Source organism: Homo sapiens, chromosome 12 (assembly GCF_000001405.40).
Source record: "Homo sapiens chromosome 12, GRCh38.p14 Primary Assembly".
NCBI classification, from domain to species: Eukaryota; Metazoa; Chordata; class Mammalia; order Primates; family Hominidae; genus Homo; species Homo sapiens.
Window position 1 is genome coordinate 84002016 of NC_000012.12, and position 16781 is coordinate 84018796.

The window sequence follows — 16781 nt, forward strand, 5'->3', positions numbered from 1 at the left end:
TCAAATGTTGGTTATTGTGAAATTAGAGTGCAGCTATCTGTTTGATATACAGATATTCTTTCTTTGGGGTGTATACCTAACAGTGAGATTGTGGAATAATATGGTAGTTCTATTTTTACTTTTTTGAGGAACTTCTAAACTGTTCTCCATAGTGGTTGTACTAATATACATTCCCCTTTCTCTACATCATTGCCAGCATTTGCTATTGGCTGTCTTTCAGATGAAAGCCATTTTAACTGGGGTAAAATTATATTTCATTGTAGTTTTGATTAGCATTTATCTGATGATCATTGATGTTAAGCACCTTTTCATATACTTGTGTGCCATTTGTTTGTCTTTTTTAGGAGAAATGTCTATTCAGATCTTTTGCCCATTTTCAATCAGACTATTAGATTTTTTTTCCCTATTGAGTTGCTTGAGCTCTTTATGTATTCTGTTCATTAATCCCTTGTAAGATGAATTGTTTGCAAATATTTTCTCCCATTATATGGGTTTTCTCTTCACTTTTTTGGTTGTTTCCTTCTCTGTGAAGAAAGGATTGTTTATTTTTGCTTTGGTTGCTTGCACTTGTGGGGTATTATTCGAAACATCTTTGCCATTCCAGTGTCCTGGAGTTTCCCCAAAGTTTTCCATACCAGTTTCACAGTTTGAGGTCTTAGATTTAAATATTAAATCCAGTTTGATTTAGTTTTTGTATATGGTGAGAGATAGGGGTCTAATTTTATTCTTTTGCATATGGATAAGTCCAATTTTCCCAGCACTATTTATTGAAGAGACAGTCCTTTTTCCAATATATGTTTCTGGCAGCTTTGTTGAAAATGAATTCACTGTAGATGTATGGATTGGTTTCTGGGTTCTCTATTCTGTTCCATTGATCTATGTGACTGTTTTTGTGCCAGTACCATGCTATTTTTGTAACTATAACTCTATAGTATAATTTGAAGTTGGGTAATGTGATTCCTCCAGTTTTCTTTTGACTGTTCTGGGCCTTCTGTGTTTTCATGTAAATTTTAATATTACTTTTTTCTATTTCTTGGAAGAATGTCATTGGTATTTTGCTAGAGATTTCACTGAATCTGTAGATTGCTTTTGATACTATAGACATTTTAACATTATTGGATTCTTTCAATCAATGAACATGGAATATCTTTCAAATTTTTGTGTCCTCTTTAATTTCTTGCATCAGTGTTTTATAGTTTTCATTGTTGAGATCTTTTACTTCTTTGGTTAAGTTTGTCCCTAGGTATTTTATTTTATTTGTAGCTATTATAAATAGGATTACTTCTTTGATTTCTTTTTCAGATTGTTCAGTATTGGCATATTGAAATGTTACTGACTTTTGTGTGTTAATTTTGTATCCTGCAAATTTACTTAATTCATTTATCAATTCTAATAGTTTTTTTTGTGGTGTCTTAAGATTTTTCCAAATATGAGATTTTATCATCTGCAAACAAGAATAACTTGACTTCTTCCTTTCTAACTTGGAGACACTTTATTTCTCTTTCTTGTCAGATTGATCTAGCTAGGACTTTGAGTACTTTGTTGAATAACAGTGGTGAAAGTGGACATCCTTTTGTTGTTCCAGATCTTAGAGGAAATACTTTCAGATATTTCCCATTTATTATGATACTATCTATGGGTCTGTTAGATGTGGATTTTATTGTTTTAAAGAATTTCCTTCTATTCCCAGGTTCTTGAGAATTTTTATCATAAATGGTGTTGAATTTTATCAAATGTCTTTTCAGCATTGATTAAAATGATCATATGTATTTGCCCTTCATTTTGTTGCTGTGATGTATCATGTTGATTAATTTGTGTATGTTGAACCATCCTTCAATCCCTGGGGTAAATCCCTCTTGGTCATGATGAAGAATCCTTTTAAATGATTTTGCTTTTTCTAGTATTTTATTGAAGCTTTTGCATCAATATTAAACAGATATATTGGCCTGTAGTTTTCTTTTGTCTTCTTTTTTATTTTTTGATTTATTTTTCTAGTTCGGTATCAGGGTAATACTTGCCTTACAGAATGAGTTTAGAGGTAGTTTCTCCTCTTATTTTTGGAAATGTTTGAGTAGGATTGGTATTAGTTCTTTAAATATTTGGTAAAATTCAGCAGTGAAGCCATCTGGCCCTTGGGTTTTCATTACTGGGAGAATTTTGTTATTTCTTTGATCTCATTAGTTGTAACAGCTCTGTTCAGGTTTTAGATTTCTTCATGGCTAAATCTTTCTAGGTTGTATGTGTCTATAAATTTATCCATTTCTTCTGTGTTTTCTGATTTACTGGCATACAGTTGCTCATATTAGTCTCTAACAATCCATTGAATTTCTACAGTATTGGTTGTAATGTCTGGTTTTTCATCTGTGATTTTATTTATTTGGATCTTCTCTTTTTTTTCTTAGTTTGGCTAAAGGTTTGTTAATTTTGTTTGTCTTTTCAAAACAACTAGTGTTTCATTGATGTTTTGTATTTTTCATTTTAATTTCATTTATTTTGGCACTGATATTTATTATTTATTTTCTCCTACTAACTTGGGATTATATTTGCTCTTCCTTTACTAGTTCTTTAAGATGCATCATTAGGTTCTTTAAGTTTTTCCACTTTTTTGATGTAGTGCTTATTGCTATTAACATTCTTTTTATTACTGCTTTTGTTTTATGCCATATTTTTTCATATGTTGTGTGATATGGTTTGGCTCCATGTCCTCATCTTAAGCCCATCTTGAATTGTAATCTCTACATGTCATGGGAGGGGCCTGGTGGAAGGTGATTGAATCATGGGGATGAACATCACCCTTGCTGTTCTTGTGCTGGTGAGTTCTCAGGAGATTTAGGTGTTTGAAGGTGTGTGGCACTTCCCACTTTGCTCTCTCTCTCTCCTGCTCCACCATGGTAAGACGTGCTGGCTTCCTCTTCATCTTTCACCATGATTGTATGTTTCCTGAGGCCTCCTAGTCATGCTTCCTGTTAAGCCTGTGGAACTGTGAGTTAATTAAACCTCTTTTCTTCATTAATTACCCAGTCTCAGGTAGTTCTTTATAGCAGTGTGAGAACAGACTAATACATAGTGTTTCCACTTTCATAAAGACTTTCAATGTTCCTGTTTTTTTACTGACTTACTGATTATTCAGGAGCATATTTTTAAATTTCTATGTGTTTCTGTAGTTTCCAAAATTCCTCTTGTTATTGATGTCTAATTTTATTCCATTGTGGTCAGATAAGATATCTGATATAATTTTAATTCTTTGAAATTTTTAAGACTTATCTTGTGGCCTAATACATGGTCTGTCTTTGAGAATGATTTATGTGCTAAGGTGAAGAATGTGTATTCTGCAGCCATTGAGTGATATGTTCTAAAAATATCTATTGGGTTCATTTGGTCTCAGCGCAGATTAAGTTTCTGTGTTAATTTTCTGTCTGGATCACCTATCCAATGTTGAAAGTGGGGTGCTGTAGTCTTCAGTTATTATTGTATTGGGAAGTAGCTCTCTTTAACTTCATTAATATTTGCTTGAGATAACTGGGTGCTCCAGTGATGGGTGCATATATATTTACAATTGTTATATGCTCATGCTAAATTGACCCCTTTATTATTATAGAGTTACCTCATATTTTATTCTTATTGTCTTAAAATCTATTTTGTCTGATATGATTATGACTATTCTTTATTTTTTTGGTTTCTATTTGCATGGAATATTTTTTCCCATTCATTTATTTTTGGTCTACGGTGTTTTTATAGGTGAAGTGTTTTTCTAGTAGGCAATAGATCATTGGACAATTTTCTTATTTTTTCCTTTTTTTATTAAACCCCTGATTGTATATTTTTTCTTTGTTTCTTTTTTTTTTTTTTGAGATGGAGTTCTGCTCTTTATGTATTTATTTATTTATTATTATTATTATTATACTTTAAGTTTTAGGGTACATGTACAAAATGTGCAGGTTAGATACATATGTACACATGTGCCACGCTGGTGCACCGCAACCACCAACTCGTCATCTAGCATTAGGTATATCTCCCAATGCTATCCCTCCCCCCTCCCCCCACCCCACAACAGTCCCCAGAGTGTGATGTTCCCCTTCCTGTGTCCATGTGTTCTCATTGTTCAATTCCCACCTATGAATGAAAATGTGCAGTGTTTGGTTTTTTGTTCTTGAGATAGTTTACTGAGAATGATGATTTCCAATTTCATCCATGTCCCTACAAAGGACATGAACTCATCATTTTTTATGGCTGCATAGTATTCCATGGTGTATATGTGCCACATTTTCTTAATCCAGTCTATCATTGTTGGACATTTGTGTTAGTTCCAAGTCTTTGCTATTGTGAATAATGCCGCAATAAACATACGTGTGCATGTGTCTTTATAGCAGCATGATTTATAGTCCTTTGGGTATATACCCAGTAATGGGATGGCTGGGTCAAATGCTATTTCTAGTTCTAGATCCCTGAGGAATTGCCACACTGACTTCCACAATGGTTGAACTAGTTTACAGTCCCACCAACAGTGTAAAAGTGTTCCTATTTCTCCACATCCTCTCCAGCACCTGTTGTTTCCTGACTTTTTAATGATTGCCATTCTAACTGGTGTGAGATGGTATCTCATTGTGGTTTTGATTTGCATTTCTCTGATGGCCAGTGATGGTGAGCATTTTCTCATGTGTTTTTTGGCTGCATAAATGTCTTCTTTTGAGAAGTGTCTGTTCATGTCCTTCGCCCACTTTTTGATGGGGTTGTTTGTTTTTTTCTTGTAAATTTGTTTGAGTTCATTGTAGATTCTGGATATTAGCCCTTTGTCAGATGAGTAGGTTGTGAAAATTTTCTCCCATTCTGTAGGTTGCCTGTTCACTCTGATGGTAGTTTTTTTGCTATGCAGAAGCTCTTTAGTTTAATTAGATCCCATTTGTCAATTTTGGCTTTTGCTGCCATTGCTTTTGGTGTTTTAGACATGAAGTCCTTGCCCATGCCTATGTCCTGAATGGTAATGCCTAGGTTTTCTTCTAGGGTTTTTATGGTTTTAGGTCTAACATTTAAGTCTTTAATCCATCTTGAATTGATTTTTGTATAAGGTGTAAGGAAGGGATCCAGTTTCAGATTTCTACATATGGCTACCCAGTTTTCCCAGCACCATTTATTAAGTAGGGAATCCTTTCCCCATTGCTTGCTTTTCTCAGGTTTGTCAAAGATCAGATAGTTGTAGATATGTGGCGTTATTTCTGAGGGCTCTGTTCTGTTCCATTGTTCTGTATCTCTGTTTTGGTACCAGTACCATGCTGTTTTGTTTACTGTAGCCTTGTAGTATAGTTTGAAGTCAGGTAGTGTGATGCCTCCAGCTTTGTTCTTTTGGATTAGGATTGACTTGGCGATGCGGGCTCTTTTTTGGTTCCACATGAACTTTAAAGTAGTTTTTTCCAATTCTGTGAAGAAAGTCACTGGTAGCTTGATGGGGATGGCATTGAATCTGTAAATTACCTTGGGCAGTATGGACATTTTCATGATATTGATTCTTCCTACCCATGAGCATGGAATGTTCTTCCATTTGTTTGTGTCCTCTTTTATTTCCTTGAGTAGTGGTTTGTAGTTCTCCTTGAAGAGGTCCTTCACATCCCTTGTAAGTTGGATTCCTAGGTATTTTATTCTCTTTGAAGCAATTGTGAATGGGAGTTCACTCATGATTTGGCTCTCTGTTTGTCTGTTATTGGTGTATAAGAATGCTTGTGATTTTTGCACATTGATTTTGTATCCTGAGACTTTGCTAAGTTGCTTCTCAGCTTAAGGAGATTTTGGGCTGAGACGATGGGGTTGTCTAGATATACAATCATGTCGTCTGCAAACAGGGACAATTTGACTTCCTCTTTTCCTAATTGAATACCCTTTATTTCCTTCTCCTGCCTGATTGCCCTGGCCAGAACTTCCAACACTATGTTGAATAGGAGTGGTGAAAGAGGGCATCCCTGTCTTATGCCAGTTTTCAAAGGGAATGCTTCCAGTTTTTGCCCATTCAGTATGATATTGGCTGTGGGTTTGTCATAGATAGCTCTTATTATTTTGAAATACTTCCCATCAATACCTAATTTATTGAGAGTTTTTAGCATGAAGGGTTGTTAAATTTTGTCAAAGGCCTTTTCTGCATCTATTGAGATAATCATGTGGTTTTTGTCTTTGGTTCTGTTTATATGCTGGATTACATTTATCGATTTGCATATATTGAACCAGCCTTGAATCCCAGGGATGAAGCCCACTTGATCATGGTGGATAAGCTTTTTGATGTGCTGCTGGATTCGGTTTGCCAGTATTTTATTTAGGATTTTTGCATCGATGTTCATCAGGGATATTGGTCTAAAATTCTCTTTTTTCGTTGTGTCTCTGCCCTGCTTTGGTATCAGGATGATGCTGGCTTCATAAAATGAGTTAGGTAGGATTCCCTCTTTTTCTATTGATTGGAATAGTTTCAGAAGGAATGCTACCAGTTCCTCCTTGTACCTCTGGTAGAATTCGGCTGTGAATCCATCTGGTCCTGGACTCTTTTTGGTTGGTAAGCTATTGATTATTGCCACAATTTCAGATCCTGTTATTGGTCTATTCAGAGATTCTTCTTCCTGGTTTAGTCTTGGGAGAGTGTATGTGTCGAGGAATTTATCCATTTCTTCTAGATTTTCTAGTTTATTTGCGTAGAGGTGTTTGTAGTATTCTCTGATGGTAGTTTGTATTTCTGTGGGATTGGTGGTGATATCCCCTTTATCATTTTTTATTGCGTCTATTTGATTCTTCACTCTTTTTTTCTTTATTAGTCTTGCTAGCAGTTTATCAATTTTGTTGATCCTTTCAAAAAACCAGCTCCTGGATACATTAATTTTTTGAAGGGCTTTTTGTGTCTCTATTTCATTCAGTTCTGCTCTGATTTTAGTTATTTCTTGCCTTCTGCTAGCTTTTGAATGTGTTTGCTCTTGCTTCTCTAGTTCTTTTAATTGTGATGTTAGGGTGTCAATTTTGGATCTTTCCTGCTTTCTCTTGTGGGCATTTAGTGCTATAAATTTCCCTCTACACACTGCTTTGAATGCATCCCAGAGATTCTGGTATGTTGTGTCTTTGTTCTCGTTGGTTTCAAAGAAAATCTTTATTTCTGCGTTCATTTCGTTATGTACCCAGTAGTCATTCAGAAGCTGGCTGTTCAGTTTCCATGTAGTTGAGCGGTTTTGAGTGAGATTCTTAATCCTGAGTTCTAGTTTGATTGCACTGTGGTCTGAGAGATAGTTTGTTATGATTTCTGTTCTTTTACATTTGCTGAGGAGAGCTTTACTGCCAAGTATGTGGTCAATTTTGGAATAGGTGTGGTGTGGTGCTGAAAAAAATGTATATTCTGTTGATTTGGGGTGGAGAGTTCTGTAGATGTCTATTAGGTCCACTTGGTGCAGAGCTGAGTTCAATTCCTGGATATCCTTATTGACTTTCTGTCTCATTGATCTGTCTAATGTTGACAGTGGGGTGTTAAAGTCTCCCATTATTAATGTGTGGGAGTCTAAGTCTCTTTGTAGGTCACTCAGTACTTGCTTTATGAATCTGGGTGCTCCTGTATTGGGTGCATATATATTTAGGATAGTTAGCTCTTCTTGTTGAATTGATCCCTTTACCATTATGTAATGGCCTTCTTTGTCTCTTTTGATCTTTGTTGGTTTAAAGTCTGTTTTATCAGAGACTAGGATTGCAACCCCTACCTTTTTTTGTTTTCCATTTGCTTGGTAGATCTTCCTCCGTCCTTTTATTTTGAGCCTATGTGTGTCTCTGCATGTGAGATGGGTTTCCTGAATACAGCACACTGATGGGTCTTGACTCTATCCAATTTTCCAGTCTGTGTCTTTTAATTGGAGCATTTAGTCCATTTGTCCATTTACATTTAAAGTTAATATTGTTATGTGTGAATTTGATCCTGTCATTTTGATGATGTTAGCTGGTTCTTTTGCTCTTAGTGATGCAGTTTCTTCCTAGTCTCAATGGTCTTTACATTTTGGCATGATTATGCAGTGGCTGGTACCGGTTGTTCGTTTCCATGTTTAGCGCTTCCTTCAGGAGCTCTTTTAGGGCAGGCCTGGTGGTGACAAAATCTCTCAGCATTTGCTTGTCTGTAAAGTATTTTATTTCTCCTTCACTTATGAAGCTTAGTTTGGCTGGATATGAAATTCTGGGTTGAAAATTCTTTTCTTTAAGAATGTTGAATATTGGCTCCCACTCTCTTCTGGCTTGTAGGGTTTCTGCCGAGAGATCCGCCATTAGTCTGATGGGCTTTCCTTTGAGGGTAACCTGACCTTTCTCTCTGGCTGCCCTTAACATTTTTTCCTTCATTTCAACTTTGGTGAATCTGACAATTATGTGTCTTGGAGTTGCTCTTCTCGAGGAGTATCTTTGCAGCATTCTCTGTATTTCCTGAATCTGAATGTTGGCCTGCCTTGCTAGATTGGGGAAGTTCTCCTGGATAATATCCTGCAGAGTGATTTCCAACTTGGTTCCATTCTCCCCATCACTTTCAGGTACACCAATCAGATGTAGATTTGGTCTTTTCACATAGTCCCATATTTATTGGAGGCTTTGCTCGTTTCTTTTTATTCTTTTTTCTCTAAACTTCCCTTCTCGCTTAATTTCATTCATTTCATCTTCCATCGCTGATACCCTTTCTTCCAGTTGATCGCATCGGCTCCTGAGGCTTCTGCATTCTTCACGTAGTTCTCGAGCCTTGGTTTTCAGCTCCATCAGCTCCTTTAAGCACTTCTCTGTATTGGTTATTCTAGTTATACATTCTTCTAAATTTTTTTCAAAGTTTTCAACTTCTTTGCCTTTGGTTTGAATGTCCTCCCGTAGCTCAGAGTAATTTGATCGCCTGAAGCCTTCTTCTCTCAGCTCATCAAAGTCATTCTCCATCCAGCTTCATTCCATTGTTAGTGAGGAACTGCGTTCCTTTGGAGGAGGAGAGGTGCTCTGCTTTTTAGAGTTTCCAGTTTTTCTGCTCTGTTTTTTCCCCATCTTTGTGGTTTTTATCTACTTTTGGTCTTTGATGATGGTGATGCACAGATGGGTTTTTGGTGTGGATGTCCTTTCTGTGTGTTAGTTTTCCTTCCAACAGACAGGACCCTCAGCTGCAGGTCTGTTGGAGTACCTGGCCGTGTGAGGTGTCAGTCTGCCCCTGCTGGGGGATGCCTCCTAGTTAGGGTGCTCGGGGGTCAGGGATCAGGGACCCACCTGAGGAGGCAGTCTGCCCGTTCTCAGATCTCCAGCTGCATGCTGGGAGAACCACTGCTCTCTTCAAAGCTATCAGGGACATTTAAGTCTGCAGAAGTTACTGCTTTTTGTTTGTCTGTGCCCTGCCCCCAGAGGTGGAGCCTACAGAAGCAGGCAGGCCTCCTTGAGCTGTGGTGGGCTCCACCCAGTTCGAGCTTCCTGGCTGGCTGCTTTGTTTACCTAAGCAAGCCTGGGCAATGGCAGGTGCCCTCCCCTAGCCTGGCTGCCACCTTGCAGTTTGATTTCAGACTGCTGTGCTAGCAAACAGTGATACTCCGTGGGTGTAGGACCCTCCGATACAGGTGCAGGATATAATCCCCTGGTGCGCCGTTTTTTAAGCCTGTCGGAAAAGCGCAGTATTCGGGTGGGAGTGACCCGATTTTCCAGGTGCCGTCTGTCACTCCTTTCTTAGACTAGGAAAGGGAACTCCCTGACCCCTTGCGCTTCCCGAGTGAGGCAATGCCTCGCCCTGCTTCGGCTCGCTCACGGTGCGTGCACTCACTGACCTGTGCCCACTGTCTGGAACTCCCTAGTGAGATGAACCCCGTACCTCAGATGGAAATGCAGAAATCACCCGTCTTCTGTGTCGCTCATGCTGGGAGCTGTAGACCAGAGCTGTTCCTATTTGGCCATCTTGGCTCCTCCCTCTCGGAGTTCTGCTCTTATTGCCCAGGCTGGAGTGGAGTAGAGTGGCACGATCTCGCCTCACTGCAACCTCTGCCTCCTGGGTTCACGCCATTCTCCTGCCTTAGCCTCCCAAGTAGCTGGGATTACAGGTGCCCACCACCATACACAACTAATTTTTTGTATTTTTAGTAGAGATGGGGTTTCGTCATGTTGGCCAGGATGGTCTCAAACTCCTGACCTTGTGATCCGCCCACCTTGGCCTCCCAAAGTGCTGGGATTACAGGCATGAGCCACCGTGCCAGGCCCCCGATTGTATATTTTCAAATATCTGTCTTTAAGCTTGCTAATTCTTTCTTCTGCTCTACCAATTCTACTGTTTAGCAACTCTAACAGAATTGTCAGTATGTCAGTTGCATTTTTTAGCTCCAGAATTTCTTCTTGTTTTTAATTATTTCAATGTCTGTTAAATTTATCTGATAGAATACTAAATTTCTTCTCTGTGCTATCTTCAATTTTATAAAGTTTCCTAGAAACAGTTATTTTTAATTCTGTGTCTGAAAAGTCACATCTCTGTCTCTCCTAGACTGGTCACTGGTGACTTATTTATTTCGTTTGCTGAGGTCATGTTTTCTGGATAGCATTGATGCCTGTGAATTTTTATCAATGTCTGAACATCGAAGATTTAGGTATTTTTGTAGTACTCACAGTTTGCATTTGTTTGTATCTGTCCTTCTTGGGTAGGCTTTTCCATGTATTCACAGGGATTTGGGTGTTGTGATCTAAGTCTTTGGTCACTGCAGCCATTTCTGTTTTAGGAGGCACTGCAAAACCAGTTATGCTGTGGATCCTCCAGGCTTGTAGAGGAACTACCTTGCTGGTCTGGAATAAGATATTGGAAAGTTGCTTGGATTACTAGGCAGAGACTTTTCTTGTCTTCCCTAATTTTCTCTCAAATCAATGGAGTGTCTCTCTCTCTGCACTGAGCTTCATGCAGCTAGAGAATTGCATCTTTGTAGACAATACTACTGGAACTGTACTTGGTCAGTCCTGTTTTCAGCACAGCACTGGGTCTCCCTAAAGGCTCACGATGACAACTGCCTGGCTACTGCTGATGTTCACTCAAGGCTCAAGGGCTCTACAATCAGCAGGTGACATATTCAGCCAGTCTTTCATCCTTTCCTTCAGGGCAGTGAGTTTCCTCTGGTCCTGGGCTGGTTCAAAGATGCCATCCAGGAGCAAGGGCCTGGAGCCAGAAACCCTTGGAATCTACTTGGTCCTTTATTCTACTACAGCTGAACTGGCATCCATGCTACATGACAAAGTTCTTTCCACTTTCCCTTCCCCTTTTCTTAAGCAGTAGATTCTCTCCCCATGGCCACCACCAGCTCAGACCTATGACAACTACCGCCTGGCTACTGCTTATGTCCACTCAATGCCCAAGTTCCTTTAGTTAGCTTTTGGTGAATGCTGCCAGGCTTGAGTCGCTCCCTTCTGGGCAATGGGCTTCCTTCTGGCTCAGAGTGTGTTCAGAAATGCTGTCCAGTAGCCAAGGTCTTAAATTGGCAACTGCTAAAATCCCCTACCCAATTTTGGCCAAGCCAGTGCCCAAGCTGCAAGACAATATCCTCTTTATACTTTTCTCTCATTTCTTCAAGCATATTTGGTCTCTTCCTGTAGCTACCATGCTGGTGATGTGCTGGGTCACACCTTAAGACAGCATAGCTCTGAGTCTCATCCAGGACCTATGGCAAGTACTGCCTGGTTACCACTACTGATTATTCAGGGACCCTAGGGCTCTTTATTCAGCAGGTGATAGGTCAAAGCAGCTGGTTCTCTTCTGACCCAGGGTGTATTTAGAAATATTGTCCATGAGCTAGGTCCTGGAATAGGGGCCTCCGAACTCTGCCTGGTGCCCTATTCTACTGTGGGTAATCTGGTGTCCATATTTCAAGTCAAAGTTATCTTTACTCTCTTCTCTTGTCTCCTCACTCAGAGGGAAGGGGTCTCTCCAGGAGCCATGAGCTGTGCTGCCTGGCATTGAGGAAAGGTTGATGCAGGCAATCCTGGCTGTTCCACCTAGTATCTCACTAGTTTATATGCACCCCAAGTCCACTGGCTCCGAGCCCAGCACAACAAAAGGACTCGCCCAGCAATTGCAATCTTTGTGGCCCAGACTACTTTTCAAGTTTATTTAGAAACCCAGAACAAGTTAGCCTAGAGTGGCAGGACTTGCCAGAACTCAGGTTCCAACCTCTGGATGGACAATGAACAATTCCCTTCTAGCTAGAGCTTGTCTAAGTGCTCCCTCTGTGAGCACTGGCTGAATTGTTCCCTGAATCACTTTCTGATGTGTTTGACAGCACAATGCAAAATCCCCAATCACTGTCCTCTTTCTCACCCATGTGCACAGATTCTCTCTCCATGCTACTGGGCCATTGCTAGGGGATATAGAAAATGAGTAATGTACATGGTTCAAGAATACTTTTCCTACCATCTTCAGTGCCTCTTCCCTCAATATGATGTTAAAACCTGGTAGTGTGGGCCAGGCGTGGTGACTCACGCCTGTAATCCCAGCACTTTGGGAGGCCAAGGTGGGCAGATGACGAGGTCAAAAGATCGAGACCATCCTGGCCAACATGGTGAAACCCCATATCTATTAAAAACACAAAAATTATCTGGGCATGGTGGCGTGCCCCTGTAGTCCCAGCTACTTGGGAGGCTGAAGCAGGAGAATTGCTTGAACCCGGGAGGCGGAGGTTGCAGTGAGCCGAGATTGCGCCACTGTACTCCAGCCTGGCGACAGAATGAGACTCTGTCTCAAAAAAAAAAAAAAAAAGAAAAGAAAAAGAAAAAAGAAAAACAAAACAAAACAAAAGTAAAAACAAAACCTGGTACTGTATTCGCTCACCTGCATTTTGGTTCTTATGAAGGTGTTTTTTGTTTGGATAGTTGTTCTATTTGGTGTTCTTGTAAGTATTATAACCACTAGAGGCTTCTCTTCAGCCTTTCTCTGCAGAAAATTTTTAGTTTAATTAGGTCCCATTTATTTATCTTTGTTTTAGTTGCATTTGCTTTTAGGGTCTTAGTCATAAATTATTTGTCTAGGCCAATGTCCTGGAGAGGTTTTCTTCTGAAATTTTTATAATTTCAAGTCTTAGATTTAAGTCTTTTATTTATCTTGTGTTAATTTTTGTATATGGTGAGAGATAATGCTCCCGTTTCATTCTTCTATTTGTGACTATCCAATTTTCCCAGCACCATTTACTGAATAGTGTTTCCTTTCCCCAGCGTAGGTTTCCATCTGCTTTGTTGAAAATTGGTTGCTTGTAAGTATTTGGCTTTATTTCTGGGTTCTCTGTTATGTTTCGCAGGTCTATGTGTCTACTTTTGTACCAGTACCAGGCTGTTTTGGTTTCTATAACTCTGTAGTATCATTTGAAGTCAGGAAATGTGGTGCCTCCAGGTTTGTTTTTTTTGCTTTGGATTGCTTTGGCTCTTCAGGTACTTTTTAAAATTCCATATAAATTTTAAGATTTTGTTTTCTAATTCATTAAAAATGGCATTGGTATATTTATAGCACTTGTGAATCTGTTGATTGCTTTAGAGCACAGGGTCATTTTCACAATATTGATTATTCTAATCCATGAGCATTGGATGTTTTTTCCTTTTTTTGTGTGATTTCTTTTATCAGTGTTTTGTACTTCTCTTTGTGGAGATTTTTTATCTCCTTAATTAAGTATATTTCTTGTTTTCTTTTTCTTTGGAGCCCTTTTAAAAAAACTTGAGAACAGCTATTTTTTTTAATGTGACAACATTCAATACCTAATGCTGGTGAAGACGGAGAAAAATTGGATCTCTCATACAATCTGGTTGGAATGTAAAATGTTACAGCAACTGTCGAAAATAATCTGTTAATTTCTTTAAAAAGAAACAAACTAGGCCAGGTATAGTGGCTCATACCGATAATTCCAACACTTTGGGAGGCCGAGTCAGGAGGATCACTTGAGGCCAGGAGTTCAAGATCAGCCTGGGCAACATAGTGCGACACCATCACTACAAAACTTTAACAAAATAATTAACCAGGCATGGTGACACATGCCTGCAGTACTAGTTACTTGAGAGGCTGAGGTGGAAGGATTGCTTGAGCACATGAGTTTGAGGGTGCAGTGAGCTATGAGCAGGTCACTTCACTCCAACCTCAACAACAGAGAAAGACCCCGTCTTTAATCAAACAAACAAGCAAACAAACAAAAAACAGCTAAACCTATATTCAACATGTGATCCAGAAATTGCATTTCTGCCCATTATTCCAAAGAAATAGAAACTTAATTCCACAGAAAAAAGCTATACATGAATGTGTATAGTAGCATATATCTCAAACCTGAAAACAACTAAAATATCCCTCCATAGGTGAGTGGTTAAACAAATTATAGTACTTCCATCTCATGTAATACTACTCAGCAATAAAAACAAATGAACAATTGATAAACAGAACTACTCAAGGGCATTATGTTGAGAAGAAAAATACTAATATAAAAACATCGCACACGGTATTATTTCATTCTTAATCACATTCTTGAAATTACAAAATTATAGAGTTGAAAGACAAATTAGTAATTGCTATGCATTGAGGATGTTGGGAGGAGGGTAATGAGGGTGACTATAAAAAGCAATTTGAAGAAGATCTTGCTAGTGATTAACTGGTTCTTCACCTTGATTGAATGGTGACTATACAATTTACACATATTAAATGACATGAGCCTATACACACAATTTGTACCAATGACAAATTCCTTATCTTGATATTGTACTATAATTGCAAAATGGAAGTTTCTTTCATAGGAGAAACTGAGTGAAGTGTATCCTGAGCCTTTCTGTACTGCCTTTGTGAATCTATGACTATTTCAAAACAAAAAACTAAAACACAAACACCCATAGAAATGTATGCACACAAATTATAATCTTGTTGAACATGAGTATAGATGTAGGGTAAATAAAGCCATTAATGGGATGGAGTGAAGTTACATCAAAATACCTAAGTCTCTTTTTATGTATATTCTCATTTTTCAAATGATATATATATATCTCAATGTAGAATTTGGTGGAAAATGAGTTTATGTATGTGAGCACAAGCTTGAAGCTGGGGATCAAAGGCAATGCTGAAACCTGTGATGTCCCACAGATGGTGGATTACATAAAGGGAACATCTTGGAAGGGGATTTATGTATATGTGTATGTGCACACAACACAGATTTGTCTACTCCCCACCAGCTGCCACTGGGAGTAGTACTTTATTAAGGTATGAACAAGCTGGGCAGATGTCTGGCACCAGTCTAAAAGCAAGATAAGCCATCACTAGAATATATTTAAAATATGAAGCTGGTAATTTAATTTCTCATAGTCACTTATTAGCATAACTGGCACAAAGTAATTTTTTTTGCTCCAATTAAAGTAGCAACTCAAAAGTTGGTGAGGAGTACTATATTTCTAAGTATTTTGGGAATCAGCAGCTTCATGTTGTATATTATAATGGAAGTCTATATCACTAACTTAAAAATAAGCCTGATTGTGGTATGATCTTGGCAGGCACAAGCAGCTGAAATTGTGCAATAAGTTTTAAAATGCATGGCATAAAACTATTTATGATGAATGGGTAATTTTTTTAAAAAAATCTAAATTTTATATAAATTAGTATTCTTCTAAAAATATTGCCACATTGAGAAACCTAAAATTGAAAAGAGAAGGGACTACCCAAGAGTAGAAAATATTTTGTCAAATTGAAAATCTGAAAAATATGTTTTAGGCATATTTCATTCCTATATATCCCAGACTGCAAGTAGGTATGCATCTAAATGGTTTTCTATTATTTTATATGAAAAAAAATCAGCAGTCCAATACTAATTTGAAATATTACATTTTTATTTTTTGCTGGTTTTATATACATGGTATATAAAAGAGGGCACAAGACAAGGATGCCCTCTCTCACCACTCCTATTCAACAGAGTATTGGAAGTTCTGGCCAGGGCAATCAGGCAAGAGAAAGAAAGGAAGCCCATCAGACTAACAGCAGATCTCTCAGCAGAAACCCTACAGGCCACAAGAGAGGGGGGCCAATATTCAACATTCTTAAAGAAAAGAATTTTCAATCCATAATTTCATATCCAGCCAAACTAAGCACCATAAGGAACGGAGAAATAAAATCCTTTCCAGACAAGCAAATGCTGAGAGATTTTTGTTACAACCAGGTCTGCCCGGCAAGAGCTCCTAAAAGAAGCACTAAATATGGAATGGAAAAACCAGTACCAGCCACTGCAAAAACACACCAAAACATAAAGACCAATGACACTATGAAGAAACTGCATCAATTAGTGTGCAAAATAACCAAATAGCATCATGATGACAGGATCAAACACACACACAACAATACTAACCTTAAATTTAAAGGGGCTAAATGCCCAAATTAGAAAACACAGACAGAAAAATTGGATAAGGAGTTAAGACCCATCAGTGTGCTGTATTCAAAAGACTCATCTTATGTGCAAAGACACACTTAATCTCAAAATAAAGGGATGGAGAAATATTTACCAAGCAAATGGAAAGTAAAAAAAAGCAGGGGTTGCAATCCTAGTCTCTGATCAAACAGTCTTAAAACCAACAAAGATCAAAAATCAAAGAAGGGCATTACATAATGGTAAAAGGAACAATTCAACAAGAAGAGCTAACTATTCTAAATATATACGTACCCAATACAGGAGCAACCAGTTTCAGAAAACAAGTTCTTAGAGACTTACAAAGATACTTAGGCTCCTTTGGCCTCCCCGAAGTGCTGGGATTACAGACATGAGCCACCACACCTGGCCTGGAAATGTTTTCATTCCCTTAACCAC

At 38.4% G+C, this 16781-nt stretch overlaps 1 long non-coding RNA gene across 2 annotated transcripts in view, besides 1 other annotated feature; it reads right to left on the minus strand.

The window, feature by feature from the left end:
* Positions 1 to 16781, minus strand: part of LOC107984536 (uncharacterized) — a 297729-nt gene that overhangs the window by 113168 nt on the left and 167780 nt on the right. The gene's annotated exons all lie outside the window — the stretch shown is intronic.
* Positions 9587 to 10087: an enhancer, noted in NCBI's record as "H3K4me1 hESC enhancer chr12:84405381-84405881 (GRCh37/hg19 assembly coordinates)". NCBI's record gives its function as "activates a minimal SCP1, AML or CMV promoter by ChIP-STARR-seq in primed H9 embryonic stem cells {active_cell/tissue: H9 hESC(primed)}" and the evidence as "EXISTENCE:reporter gene assay evidence [ECO:0000049][PMID:30033119]".